At 43.2% G+C, this 15,231-nt stretch overlaps 1 protein-coding gene across 5 annotated transcripts in view; it reads left to right on the top strand.

Moving 5' to 3' along the window:
* MTF1 (metal regulatory transcription factor 1) overlaps positions 1–15,231 on the top strand; it is a 50,019-nt gene that overhangs the window by 27,407 nt on the left and 7,381 nt on the right. For 4 of the 5 annotated variants that reach the window (NM_005955.3, XM_047421170.1, XM_011541491.3 and 1 more), the window contains 3 exons: positions 8,374–8,476; positions 9,470–10,065; positions 14,704–14,767. In NM_005955.3, the coding sequence (NP_005946.2) occupies positions 8,374–8,476; positions 9,470–10,065; positions 14,704–14,767 (763 nt within the window). Of the gene's footprint in view, positions 1–8,373; positions 8,477–9,469; positions 10,066–14,087; positions 14,768–15,231 lie in introns of those variants that run through there. The other variant, XM_011541493.4, reaches the window with a different exon arrangement.

The following is a 15,231-nucleotide window of genomic DNA, read 5'->3' as shown; positions in this document are numbered from 1 at the left end:
TGGTGGGAAAATTGAGGCAGGCCAGTCTTTGAAGTTTTCTAAATTTAATTGTGTTTAATTACTGACCATGTAGGATTTTTTCTTCTTCTGATAAGAGTTCTATTAGAGCCTGTTCTCTCTGATGCCTGATTCCTTTTGACGCAGGTCACTCACTCGGTAACCTGGCCCCAGAAAATTTCTTTTTTTTACTCATTTAGCAAATATTTATTGACCAGGCACTGTGCCAGTACTGAGCTTATAGTAGTTAAAAATGTTGGTATAGTTTGTCCTTGAGGAACTTAAAGTCTAGTACTGTAAGACATAACCAGAATTCTAGTTTCTGGACTTTCTCAAATCCTATCTATATGACCTGGCTTGGTCTTTTCCTTTTTCATTTTAATTTTATTTATTTATTTTTTTTCTGTGCAATGGGGAGAGAAAAATTTCCCTTCTTTAGGTTTATTAGCTTTTTGAAGAAAACCTCTTACACATATAGAGGCCTCTATCTGCTAAAGGACAAGCCCACTTTATCTTAATCTGATTGCTTTGATTCAAGCTGTTAGGAAATTTGACTGCCATTCCCATGGCTCCATGATGCAACTTACAAACCAATGCATTGAGTCTGAGCTTATGCAGCCTCCTCCATGTTGAACATGAGAGTTTTATAGTATTGCTAACACTAATTTTGAGTTTGGGTTTTTTGTTGTCGTTTTTCCTGGTAAATAAATATAGCATAGGCTAGATTTTCTGTGATTATGTGCATAATGAATAAATATGATGGGAAGTATTTGAACAGAGACTGAATGATTCAGGAATGCTGTGAAAGAGTGGTTAGTGGAGTCAATTACAGCACTTCTGAAGTTGTAGGTTCTTGGGCCTCCCCCCAAGCCTGCTGAGTCAGCTTGTCTGACCGTGGCATCTGAACCTGCATTTTTATGTAAGCACGACAAGGCCTAATTCTCCTTCTGGTAGTGGCAGAGTTGCTCTTATGAGACCAACTCTCCCGCAGAAAACAGCTAAAAATTCTAGACAAAATATAAAAAACAACTGTGGAAAGGCACTGGTGAGCAACCAATAGCAAGCAGAGGTAACCTTGGAAGAAGGGATTGCTTGGAAGATGGTAAAGGCACTGGGTAGGCTTGCAAGTTTTATGGCTTATCCACCTTGGGCAAGCCCCAGTTGGCACCCAACGAGGCAGCCAAACTTATAAAAACTCAATCTTACTGGCTTGAATAACCAGAGGACAGAGTTCAGGGTGGCCACAGCACCTGGAAAGTGAAGGCAGGTAGCCTGGAAAGGAAAGAGTCACTAAGGGGGAGCCCCAAGTTCTGTGTATAAACTCTCTCCGAATCTCTGGCTGACCCCTGCGCCATGGATGTGTGGGATAGACTCTAAGCAGCCCAGCCAAGGCTAAAGATCTACACAAAGATCATAGCTGCATCCACTGCAAGGGAGATGAAGTTAATGGAATATTCAGACAAACAAGTCAACACACTTCCAAGAAGTGTAACAGAGTCCAGAGTCTCTAAAATATATCATTTGTAGTGTTCAGAGCAATCCCAAATTAGTAAACACGTGAAGAAACAGGAAAACATGATCCCTCCACAAGAGAAAAGGTAATCTGTGGAGATGGACCCCAAGATGACCCATCTAATGTTAAAATTAACAGACAAGGATTTTTTTTATTTTTATTTTTTTATGCGACAAGGATTTTTAAAAGCTATTATATGCTCAAGGACATAAAGGAATATGCTTGTAATGATTGAACAAATAGGAAATCTCAGCAGAGGAATAGAAACCGTAAAAAGTGTACCAAATGGAAATCTAAAACGGAAAAATATAGCTGAAATAATTCACTGGATGGGGCTTAACAGCAGATTGGAAATGACAGAAGAAAGAATCAGTTGAGTTGAAGATCAATAATAGAAATGAATCAAACTAAAGAGCAAAGAGAAAAAGATTAAATGGGTACATCACATGACTTTTATGCATATTCCTATTTTACAACTAATGTTCTAAAAGAAATTTCTGCACTGGGTGGTCTAGATGCCCTCAAAGCTACCCAGCCTAAGATTTCTAGGAATAATATCCCTTTAACGTGTAACTGTGTTAAATAGCTTAGGAGTCTATTCTCTGGCCAAGACTATGACATATGACTAACGAGCTTTCTGGAGCCCTAGGGTCACCAGGAAAATACCCTGGCATAAGGGGACACCAAGTACTTATGAAAAAGGGAAGCCTTTCCTATCACAATTTATATAATCAAGAGAGAGAAGCACTATCCCTTGGGGTTTAATTATAGATCATGCTCCTGGTACCCAGTGTTTATCTCAGATGTGGAAATTGATTTTAGCCTTTCAAACTAAGGCCACAATTCCTTGAAGCAATAGGATTAATTTTTCTTTTTTCTTTTTTTTTTTTTGAGACAGAGTCTCGCTCTGTCGCCCAGGCTGGAGTGCAGTAGCGCGATCTCGCCTCACTACAAGCTCCACCTCCTGGGTTCACGCCATTCTCCTGCCTCAGCCTCCCCAGTAGCTGGGCCTACAGGCGCCCGCCACCATGCCTGGCTAATTTTTGTTGTGTTTTTTAGTAGAGACAGGGTTTCACCATGCTAGCCAGGATGGTCTCGATCTCCTGACCTCGTGATCCGCCCGTCTCGGACTCCCAAAGTGCTGGGATTACAGGTGTGAGCCACCGCGCCCGGCCAGGATTAAATTTTCTTTGCTTGAAAAAAAAATTAGGGACATGTGCAGTGGCTCATGCCTGTAATCCCAGCACTTTGGGAAGCAGAGGTGGGTGGATGGCTTGAGCCCAGGAGTTTGAGACCAGTCTGGGCAACACAGTGAGACCTCATTTCTAGTAAAAATAAAATATTAGCTGGGTGTGGTGGTGGTATTTTCTAATAAAAATATTTTTTTTAATAGAGACCTCATCTCTAGTAAAAATAAAATATTAGCTGGTGTTGTCCCAGCTATCTGGGAGGCTGAGGCAAAAGGATTGTTTGAGCCCTGGAGTGAGCCATGATCACACCACTGCATTCCAGCCTGGGCAACAGAGCAAGACCCTGTCTCAAAAAAAAAAAGAAAAAAAAGAGAGAATCAGGACTTGTTAAAATCAAATAGTAAATTTATATGAGATAATGATTTTATGGGTTTCTCAGCAGCCATATGTATGCATATCCTAGAAATGAACTTTGGTTTGCTCAGATCTTTTGTTAGAGGAGAGTTGAAGGTGCTAGGGAATGGCCTTCTCGAAGCCTTTTGGCTGCTCAGCTCCAGGATCCATCCTGGTCCCAGACAGCTACCTGTATTCTCCTCTTCTTTGCCCTTTGCTCTTTGCTCCTTGCTCCAGGCCTGGAAAGCTCAGCCTGTTCTTGTCTTCTCTACTTGTGAAAGTTGTTCCTACCCACTTTGCTCCCAGCGTTTTTGCCCTGAAGCTTGGCAGGGGCTTCAGCATTTTCCTTTTTTTAAATTTTAACAAGCTTTTTATTGAGGTACAATATACATACAGAAAAGCACATGTATTATAAATGTACAGCTTGATGAATCATCACAATTCGTCACACCCATGTAACCAGCACCCCGGTCAAAAAGAACATTCCCAGCCAGGCGTGGTGGCTTACGCCTATAATCCCAACACTTTGGGAGGCTGAGGTAGGCGGATCACCTGAGGTCAGGAGTTTGAGACCAGCCTGGCCAGCATGGCTAAACTCCGTCTCTACTAAAAATACAAAAATTAGCCGGGTGTGGTGGCGGGCGCCTGTAATCCTAGCTACTCGGGAAGCTGAGGCAGGAGAATCACTTGAACCGTGGCGGCAGAGGTTGCAGTGAGCTGAAATCGTGCCATTGCACTCCAGTCTGGGTGACAAGAGCGAAACTCTGTCTCAGAACAAAAGAAAACAAACAAAATAACATTCCCAGCACCCCAGAGGCCCCCCCCTCACATACCCCCAAAAGCCATGATCTCTCCCTGCAGACAACCACTATTCTGACTTACAACAACTAAGATTAGTTTTTCCTGTTTTTTTTTTTTTAATGCTTTTATGATTGGAATCATATACTTGTTTATGTGTGGCTTTTCTTCTCATAACATTATGTTTAAGAAATTAAGCCATATTATTACATACAGTTACAGGTCATTCATTCTTCTTGTTGAACAATATTACACTAAGTGAATATACCACAATACACTAAATGAATATACCAATATTTGTTCTTTCTCCTGTTGGGCCTTTGGATAGTTTCCAGTTTGGAGCCATTATGAATAGTGCTGCTGTGAACATTTTTGTACATATGTTTTGGAGGCACACAAGCCCATTCCTTTTCTTTTCCCTAGTATTATTGAGGTATTAGGTTGGTCAAAAGTAATTGCCATTGAAAGTAATGGCAAAAACCGCAAATACTTTTGCACCAACCTAATATCATTGACAAATATAGCTCATTCGTTTTTAATTATGTTACTACCTATAATGATTTATAAACAGAACAAAAGTAATAACTATGGCTGGTCGTGGTGGCTCACACCTGTAATCCCAGCACTTTGGGAGGCCGAGGAGGGTGGATCACGCCTGTAATCCCAGCACTTTGGGAGGCCGAGGCGGGTGGATCACGAAGTCAGAAGATCAAGACCATTTTGGCTAACACGGTGAAACCCCATCTCTACTAAAAATACAAAAAACAAAATTAGCCGGGCATGATGGCAGGCGCCTGTAGTCCCAGCTACTTGGGAGGCTGAGGCAGGAGAATGGCGTGAACCTGGGAGGTGGAGCTTGCAGTGAGTCAAGATCATGTCACTGCACTCCAGCCTGGGCAACAGAGCGAGACTCTGTCTCAAATAATAATAATAATAATAATAATAATAATAATAATAACAACTATGAGGAGGTTGCAAAGCTTATGCTCAGTGGTAGTTGTTAGTCAACTATTTTTCAAACTGGATTGCACCTTTTCATTGGGTTTTAAAATAGTGGTTTATAATCAGCATTTCAAAGACATCAATAGAATAGAAAAAAAATCAGAGGACATTGCACATAGTAAGGATAAGGTCTGTTTCATAGACTTGTTTCAGTTACACATATGGATATGTATATAATATGAAGAATGTATGTATATACAGTGTAAAATGTATTTCTTACTTTGTGTCACAATGAAAATTTGAAAGTCACACTATTGGCCTATGAGTTTTAACTCTGTCCGGACTGGAAGTTGGAAGTTGTCCCACATAGATTTGAGATGGAGTCTTGCTCCATCACCCAGGCTGGAGTGCAGTGGCTTGATCTCAGCTCGCTGCAACCTCCACTTCCCAGGTTCAAGTAATTCTCCTGCCTCAGCGTCCCGAGTAGCTAGGATTTGAAGCACGCACCACCATGCTCAGCTAATTTTTGTACTTTTGGTAGAGACGGGGTTTCACTGTGTTGGCCAGGCTGGTTTCGAACTCTTGACCTCAAGCGATCTGCCTGCCTCGGCCCCACACAGTGCTGGGATTACAGGTGTGAGCCACTGCGCCTGGCCTCACATAATTTCTGACTTCACCTTCTATCATATTGGCAATCAGGATCACTGAAATGAAGAAAAAAAAAAAAAGGAATCACTGAATTTCCCCTCCTTCAGCTGATAGACGTAGAAGAGAATCATCAGCTGGTGGTGGTGGCTCATACTTGTAATCCCAGTGCTTTGGGAAGACTGCTTGAGGCCAGGAGTTCAAGACCAGGCTAGGCAACGTAGCAGGACCTTATCTCTACTAAAAATAATTTTTAAAAAGCAGCCAGGCATGGTGGCGTGCGCCTGTAGTCCCAGCTACTTGGGAGGTCTAGGGGAGGATCTTGAACCTAGGAGTTCAAGGTTGCAGTGACTTGACTGCGCCTCTGCACTCCCGCCTGGATAACAGAGCTAGACCCCGTCTGAAAAAAAGGGGGGGAAAAGAAGAATTGCTCCCTTTTGGCTCCAGTGGGCAATTTAATCTTTGAGCACTTCTAGATTGGTGGACAGCCCCACTCATCACCACACTTCTACCCAATCCCAAAGTGATCCTTCTGAGTTCTGCCTTCTAGAAGCAGAGTTGTTACAAAATGACCTTAAAACGTATGTTGGCACTAGGGCAAGATCTGCCCTAAAAAGAGGTTTTAGTTTGGTATATACAGTGTGTTTAAGTTATTTTCAATTACATGTGACCCTTGAACAACACAGGGGCTAGGGGTGCTGGCCTCCCAACCCATAACCCCCTGCACAACCAAATCCTAGTATAACTTTTGACTCCCCCAAAACTGAGCTAGCAATGGCCTTAGCCTACTGTGATTGGAAGCCTTACTGATAACATAAACAGTTTAGATTAGCAGATATTTTGAATGTTATATGTATTATGTATTGTATTCTTAAAGTAAGCTAGAAAAAAAAAAATGTTAAGAAAATCACAAGGAAGAGGAAATAAATTTACTATTTATTAAGGGGAAGTAGATCATTGTAAAGGTGATTCATCCTCATCGTCTTCACATTGAGTAGGCGGAGGAAGAGGAAGAGGAGGGGTTGGTTTTGCTGTGTCAGGGGTGGCAGAAGTGGAAAAAAGTCCCAAGTATAAGTCCACTTGTGCAGTTCAAATGCATGTTGTTCAAGGGTCAGCTGTACTTGCTTTTATTTACAAGTTGGTAGATTTCATGTAAAAATCAAAATTTCTGGGTCTGATGTGGTGGCTCACACCTATAATCCCAGCACTTTGGGAGGCTGGGGTGGGAGGATCTCTTGAGCCCAGGAGTTCCAGACCAGCCTGGACAACATAGTAAAACCCTATCTCTACAGAAAAATTAAAAAATCATCCAGATGTGGTGGCCCATACCTGTGGTCCCAGCTACTTGGAGGCTGAGGTGGGAGGATCACTTGAGCCCGGGAGTTGAAGGCTGCGGGGAGCTATGATCATACCACTGCACTCCAGCCTGGGCAACAGAGTAAAGAAACCCTGTCTCAAAAAAAAGAAAGTCAAAATTTTGCCACTTGAGTTCTGGTAATCCCTGGCCTGCATATTCCCATGGCAGCATTCGGCTGAAGCCCTTGAGGTGACTGGCATGCATTCTCTCCAGTATGCCACAACCCACCTCCCTTGCTTCACGTATTTCTTTTCCCTCTCTGGACTTTGTAGGCAGTTGCCCTTACCACTCTTGCCCTACGAACTGTAGGGGTAGAGGTGGATTGGAGGTTGACCATGGATAGAAGAACTGTAGTCTTTCCCCTTCCCTGAACTAAAGTGAAGAGTGCTCGTTTTAGTTAGTGCCTGTGGGGAGGCAGGCCCTCAGGACATTGTGTTGGGTCTCCCCCCTCACATTTTACCTTTTTGTTTTTAATGCCTCTGACCTTTTATTAAGTATAAAGGTATCACTATTGTTCACCATTGTTGTCTTGTTTATTACCATGCATACATACTAGAATATCATAGATATTATGAAAAATATTCACAATGTTATTATTACATGAGGAAAGCAAGTTGCAGGGTAATGAATATTATATAATTTTTTTGTTGTTGTTTACGGAGTCTTGCTCTGTCGCCCACGCTGGAGTGCAGTGGTGCGATCTTGGCTCACTGCAACCTCCGCCTCCCAGGTTCAAGCAATTCTACTGCCTCAGCCTCCCAAGTAGCTGGGATTACAGGCGCCTGCCACCATGCCCAGCTAATTTTTGTATTTTTAGTAGAAACGGGGTTTTACCATGTTTTCCAGGCTGGTCTCAAACTCCTTACCTCAGGTGATCTGCCCGCCCCAGCCTCCCAAAGTGCTGGGATTACAGGCATAAGCCACCACACCTGGCCTGTAATCTCATTTTTTAATGTAAGATTTGGTCTTTTAGATCAGAAGTCAGCAAGGTTTTTTTTGGTAATGAGCCAGACAGTAAATATTTTAGGCTTTGTTGATTCCATGGTCTCTGTCACAACTAGTCAACTCTGCCATTGTAGCAAAAGTAGCACAGATAATATATAAATGGATGCATGTGCCCGTGTTCCAATAAAACTTTATTTACAAAAACAGGAAATCAACTGGCAAGTCATAGTGTGCCAATTCCTGTTTTAAGTGTTTGAGGGGCTGGGCATGGTGGCTCATGCCTGTAATCCTAACATTTTTAGGAGTCTGAGGTTGAGTGGATTGCTTGAGCCCAGGAGTTCAAGACCAGCCTGGGCAACGTAGTGAGATTCTGTCTCTATTAAAAAATAAATAAATAAAAATAAAGTATTTGAGGACCCAAATCTTTAGTGTCTAAGGCTTAAGAAAATACATGTTACTTTAAATAGCAGAAGGTAGAAACAAAATGCATATCAAAAGATTTTCATTCTAGTTCTGCTGCTTTGAATGTGTTTTCTCATGGTGAAGAATTGTCTCAAGATGGCCAATCTCACATCTTTGTCTCTCTCCATCAGACCCAGGGCCAGGACCTCAGCACAATTTCACCAGCAATCATCTTTGAATCAATGTTCCAGAATTCAGATGATACGGCAATTCAGGAAGATCCTCAACAGACAGGTTTGTCACACGGACTCTTTCTACTCACATCTAAGCACTTGCTGACACACTGAGTCACAGGCACAATGAATCATTCTAGTTAGCGTAAATGAAGTGAGCTTTCTATAAAGGGTCAGAAAGTTTGGGTCTTTCAGTTTAATTCCATCTTTTCCCCTACTTCCCTCAGTCCTGAAGAAGAGAATCTCCTTTCCCAGAATCTTCTGTTGGCTGTAAAACCACCAAAATGGGGAGGAGCTGTGAGATTTTTCTTCTACATTTTTTTTTTTTTGAGACAGCGTCTCATTTTGTCACCCAGATGGGAGTGCGGTGGTGTGATCTCAGCTCACCGCAACCTCCACCTCCAGGCTTGAGTGATCCTCCCACCTCAGCCTCCTGAGTAGCTGGGACCACAGGCACGTGCTACCACACCCAGCTAATTTTTTTTTTTTGTATTTTTGGTAGAGATGGGGTTTTGTCATGTTGCCCAGGCTGCTCTGAAACTCCTGAGCTTAGGCAATCCACCCGCCTCAGCCTCCCAAAGTTCTAAGACTACAGGCGTGAGCCACCATGCCCAGCCTTGTGAGCTCTTTCTTCTGATGTGATACACTGTCTGTGAATGGACAGGACCCACAAATCCACAAACTTCAGCTGCATATATCATACTGTGTTTCATGAAAATTTGTCTGTAAAACTTCCCATTAGTCAGAAAGTATAGTCACTAGTCATGTCAAAAAAAGGATGTTTAGTCTCTTTTCCAGAAAAGCCTTAAGACACTTTTTTAAATGGTTAGAACTATATTGGGTCTTCACATTTAGGAAGTGAGGTTGATGGTGAAACGTGATACTTTGACCAGAGGTGTCACTAAATGAAAATGACAGAAAGCTGGCCTGCTAGCTATGAAGAGATCAGCTCAGTGGACTTCAGCTGTGTTTTGTTTAGCCCATAATGACTGTTTTTGTGGCTCATCTAAGGCTTGGGATATGTATATATATTTCTATTTCTTTTTCTTGCCAGCTTCCTTGACTGAAAGTTTTAATGGTGATGCAGAGTCAGTCAGTGATGTTCCGCCATCCACAGGAAATTCAGCATCTTTATCTCTTCCACTTGTACTGCAACCTGGCCTCTCCGAGCCACCCCAGCCTCTACTACCTGCCTCAGCTCCGTCTGCTCCTCCGCCTGCTCCCTCCCTAGGACCTGGCTCCCAGCAAGCTGCATTTGGCAACCCCCCTGCTCTCTTACAACCTCCAGAAGTGCCTGTTCCCCACAGCACACAGTTTGCTGCTAATCATCAAGAGTTTCTTCCGCACCCCCAGGCACCGCAGCCCATTGTACCAGGACTTTCTGTTGTTGCTGGGGCTTCTGCATCAGCAGCGGCAGTGGCATCAGCTGTGGCAGCACCAGCCCCACCACAAAGTACTACTGAGCCCCTGCCAGCCATGGTCCAGACTCTGCCCCTGGGTGCCAACTCTGTCCTAACTAATAATCCCACAATAACCATCACCCCAACTCCCAACACAGCTATCCTGCAGTCCAGCCTAGTCATGGGAGAACAGAACTTACAATGGATATTAAATGGTGCCACCAGTTCTCCACAAAACCAAGAACAAATTGTAAGTATTATGTATGAATATACCCAGTGGGGTGAAGTGTATTTACATAGGTGACATGTTCAGAAGCTTTTACTTCAAAAAGAAAAGTGGCTGTCATATCCACCGTGAAACATGTAATTCTACCTTTTAGTCATTTTCCACATAATCAAGTGGTATAAACGTAGGAAATGCTGTGGTCAGTACCTATAGTAAGGAGGCAGAGAAACAGTCTTTATCTAGCAGGAGGCACTCAAACAAATATTCCTACTGATACTGGAATCTAATCACATCATCTAGTATAAAAAAGCAGTCAGCAAACTCCAGAGGTCCCAGAATATTCCAGAAAAAGGTTGTTTTCAAGGCAGAGTCAGACTGATGTGAGGGACTGATGTGACCCAGTCAGATGGCACCGGACAGCAGTGGCCAAGTCAGAGAGCTAACTTGTGCTCCCACAGCCCATCATAGAATCATTTTCTGAGGAAGTACTTGGTCTTGATGACTAGGGAAATGACTTGGTCATTCAGTTAATGCTTCATCGTGAAGAATTGTCTCAGGGTGGCCAATCTCACAACTTTGAAAGCCTAATATTTGCCAGACACTATACTGAGTATCTGGAGGATACAGAAAAGAGAAAAAACATGATTTATTTTTTATAAAAACATATATTCTAGTTAAAGAGGCTAAAAATGCCAAAAAGAAAGTTAATATTACCAGTAGGTTAAATATTAAATACTAATAATGGTAATTTAAAAAACATCAACAGCTATTATTCATTGAGTCCTTACTATGTGTAAGGACTTATTGTGCTACATATTTTTTAAAATTGAGGATCTGCAATGTGTCAGTTATTACCTACGTACATTATTTTTAGATTACTTTTTTTTGGACTTTATTGAACAGATGGTACAGAGAGTTTCCATAAACCCTTTCCCCACCCCTAGTTTCTCCTATTATTATTATTATTATTATATATTTTGAGGCTCTGTCACCCAGGCTAGAGTGCAGTGGTGCGATCTCAGCTCACTACAACCTCCACCTCTTGAGCTCAAGCCATCTTCCCACCTTAGCTTCCTAACTGGGACTACAGGCACCCACCACCATGACTGGCTAATTTTTTGTATTTTTTGTAGAGACGGGGTTTCGCCATGTTGCCCAGACTGGTCTTGAACTCCTAGACCCAAGCAATCTGCCTGCCTCCGTCTCCCAAAGTGCTGGGACTATAGGCGTGAGCCATCATGCCCAGCCCTCCCCTATTATTATTATTGTTTTTTCTCCCTATCATCTTGTTTTTTTCCCCTATTACTAACATCTTGCAACAGTGTGGTACATTGGTTACAACTGATGAACCAGTATTGATACATTATTGTTATCTAAAGTCCATAGTTTAGGGTCCATTCTTTGTGCTGTACAGTTCTATTGGTTTTGACAAATGCATAATGTCATGTATCTACCATTAAGCAATATCCAGAATAGTTTCACATTTTTTAAAATTCCTTGTCCTTCACTTATTCATCCCTTCTACCACTTCCCTCTCCCCTAGCAATCATTGATATTTTTACTATCTCTGTATAGCTGCAGCTCTATATGTCACACAAAACACATTTTAACATATTACAACAATCCTAGGAGGTAGGTCTAATTTTCCCAATGGAGAGCAGAGGTCCAGAGAGGTTAAGTGACTGGCTGAAGTTCACAGAGCTCACAAGTGGCAAAGCTGGGATTTAAGCATAAGCAGATTGATCCCAGAGTTGGTGGCTCTTGGCCACTGCGTTGAGGGGTTCAGACACTAATGGTTTGTTGGGTGGCCATACAGGTCAGGTCAGCCTTGAGATATGGGTAGGAATTAGATGGAGAAAAGGATGTACTAAGTTGGAGAACCTAGAGGTGGATGTATGCTACTATTAGACACACTAGAAAGGCCATTTGGGGCTCAACAGGGAGAACACTCAAATTCCAGAACTAGGGTGCCAACCCCGTCTAGATCTAGAGAGCCTATGTCCATTTCTAGATAGCTAGAGTCATTGGAAAGGGCTTTCCAGTATTGTGACCCAGCCCGCCTCCATGTGGTTTTTATTGTTTTCTCTGGCCCTGTCCTGGGGTGCTGAGTGAAACAAGTCATCCATTTTCTTTTCAGATATTTAGGGTCTCACTTCTCCTTTTTTTTTTTTTTTTTTTTTTTTTTTTTTTTTTGAGTCAGAGTCTTGCTCTGTTGCCTAGGCTGGAGTGCAGTGGTGCAGTTTTGGCTCACTGCAACCTCCGCCTCCTGGCTTCAAGCGATTCTCCTGCCTCAGCCTCCCAAGTAGCTGGGACTACAGGCATGCACCAGCACACCTGGCTAATTTTTGTATTTTTAGTAGAGACAGGGTTTCACCATGTTGGCCAGGCTGGTCTCCAACTCCTGACCTCAGGTGATTCGCCCACCTCGGCCTCCCAAAGTGCTGGGATTACAAGCATGAGCCACCACGCCCAGCCTCCATTATTATTTTATAGTGTCATCTGCTATAACGTAGCCAGAAGCTTTCACTTTCCTCCCACACTCATCTTAGAGGCAATTTTAAATTTCCTTTTTAGCGAGATAAAAGACAAAGCTGCCTCAAGATAAGACTTCAAGAAAGTGGAAACCTTTTAGCCCATGTAATAGGAAGTATACTAGAGCGAAAAGGGTGATTTTCTGGGCATAGGTTTATAGTCCTACTTAGTAATAATATAAATAATGTTCTGGAACTCCTGACCTCAGGTGATCCGCCCGCTTTGGCCTCCCAAAGTGCTGGGATTACAGGCGTGAGCCACCGCGCCCGGTCTTAAATAATGAATGTTTACTGAATGTTCACCATGTGCCAAGTGTCCTACGTGCATCATCTCATTTCATCCTCACAGAGGCCTTTGAAGAGGTTTTTGGTTATTGTCTTAGTCCATTTTCTGTTGCTTATAACAGAATACCCCAAACTGGGTAATTGATAAAGAAAATACATTTATTTCTTACATTTATGGAGGCTGAGAAGTCCGAAGTTGAGAGGCCACATCTGGAGGGCCGCCCTCCTGGTGTGGACCCTCTGCAGAGTCCTGAGGCAGCACAGGGCATCACATGGCGAGGGGTTGAACATCCTAGCTCGGGCCTCTCTTCCTCTTCATTTTTTTTTTTTTGTTTTGACACGGAGTCTCACTCTGTTGTCCAGGCTGGAGTGCAGTGGTGCGATCTCGGCTCACTGCAACCTCCGCCTCCCAGGTTCACACCATTCTCTTGCCTCAGCCTCCCGAGTAGCTGGGATTACAGGCACCCGCCACCACACCCGTCTAATTTTTGTATTTTTAGTAGAGATGGGGTTTCACCGTATTAGCCAGGATGGTCTCGATCTCCTGACCTCGTGATCTGCCCGCCTCGGCCTCCCATAGTGCTGGGATTACAGGCGTGAGCCACCACACCTGGCCTTTTTTTTTGAGATGGAGTCTCGCTCTGTCACCTAGGCTGGAGTGCAGTGGCGCGATCTCGGCTCACTGCAAGCTCCACCACCCGGGTTCACACCATTCTCCTGCCTCAGCCTCCCGATTAGCTGGGACTACAGGCGCCCGCCACCATGCCCGGCTAATTTTTTGTATTTTTAGTAGAGATGGAGTTTCACTATGTTAGCTAGGATGGTCTCGATCTCCTGACCTTGTGATTCACCCGCCTCGGCTTCCCAAAGTGCTGGGATTACAGGCGTGAGCCACTGCGCCTGGCCTTTTTTAAGAGAGAGAATTTCACTATGTTCCAGGCTGGGCTGGCCTTGAACTCCTGGGCTCAGGTGATCCTCCTTCAGTCTTCCAAATAGCTGGGACTATAGGCATGTACCACCACACCCTCCTTCTCTTACTCTTCTTATAAAGCCACCAGTCCCACTCCCATGATAACTCATTAATCCATGAGTGAATTAATTCATTCATGACCCAGTCACCTCTTAAAAACCCAGCCTCTCAATACTGCCACACTGGGGATTAACTTTCAACATGAGTTTTGGAGGGGACAGATACTCCATCCATAGTAGTTATTATTCCTGTTTTTACAGGTGGGGAAACAAGACTCTTAAGAAGTTAAATCACATGCCCAACACCAACAACTAATAAGTGGCAGAGCTTGGACTTGAATCCAAGTGTGGCTGAATCCAGGGCCCACCCTTGAACTATGCTGTGCACCTTACAGCACAAGGCCTTTACAGGGCTGTCTACCTGTGAGAGGAAGCCTTAACCTGTCCTTGGCATGCAGCTTAATCTCTGAGGGGGAAAAAAAGAACTTTCCAGCTTTCTTAGAAGTACTAGGGGGCAGCAGGGAATGTGGAGAGCCTGAAGGAAAGCTAGCCCTGGGATCCCTCTGAGAAGACAATCTGCTTGAGAAAAGCAACCTTGGAGGAGGAGGAGCCTTTGGATACAGAACCTACTGGATTAGGCAGCTGGGAGCCAGCCAACTAGTGGCGTACAAAGCTAACTACGTTGTCAGCACTGAATGTCAAACAGTGCAGTGACCTCATGTCAGAGCACAAACAAAACATCACTCAGTACAAAAATCCCTGAACACTAAGGGTTTTCTGTCTTCTTGGATGACCATTACAGTTGGTGAGGCTTCAGGTCCCTGGGGATCTGCCATATTACAGTGGCTATAAATGAGATTTCTTTTTCTTTTTTCAGCAGCAAGCATCTAAAGTTGAGAAGGTGTTTTTTACCACTGCAGTACCAGTAGCCAGTAGCCCAGGTATGTAATTCCATGTTAGCCTTAAGAGAAGGCAACTCTGTGGGTCCCTTGAGGCACAGCTAATTATTGCTTTGTCCCAGTTTCTAAAACTTTAAAAATCTTTAAACAGCCTCAGTTAAATTCTTCACATTGTATTGTTGGCTAGAGTATTTCATATTCTCACAACTATTAGAAGTTAGTATACGTCTGGCCAAAATACCGTGTTTAACATTCTTTAACTAGTAACAGTTCTTTCCCTTTCAGATACAGCTTTAAAATGTAGCCAGAAAAAAATTTTTGAATCACAGCTAATGCTAAAGAGGGCAGTTGTTAATTCACTGGACTCTTTTCTAATTACAGTAATGAAGAAATAGCATCTGGGTCAGAGACACATATAGAGCTGAAAGTTCCTTTTATTCAAATTCTTTATTTTATAGATTAAGACACTGGGACCCAGAAAAATTAATTGACTCCCCCAAGGTTGT

Source organism: Homo sapiens, chromosome 1, assembly GCF_000001405.40.
Source record: "Homo sapiens chromosome 1, GRCh38.p14 Primary Assembly".
Classification (NCBI taxonomy): Eukaryota; Metazoa; Chordata; class Mammalia; order Primates; family Hominidae; genus Homo; species Homo sapiens.
The sequence above is the reverse complement of the archived record's forward strand: the minus strand, read 5'-3'. Positions and strand labels throughout refer to the sequence as shown.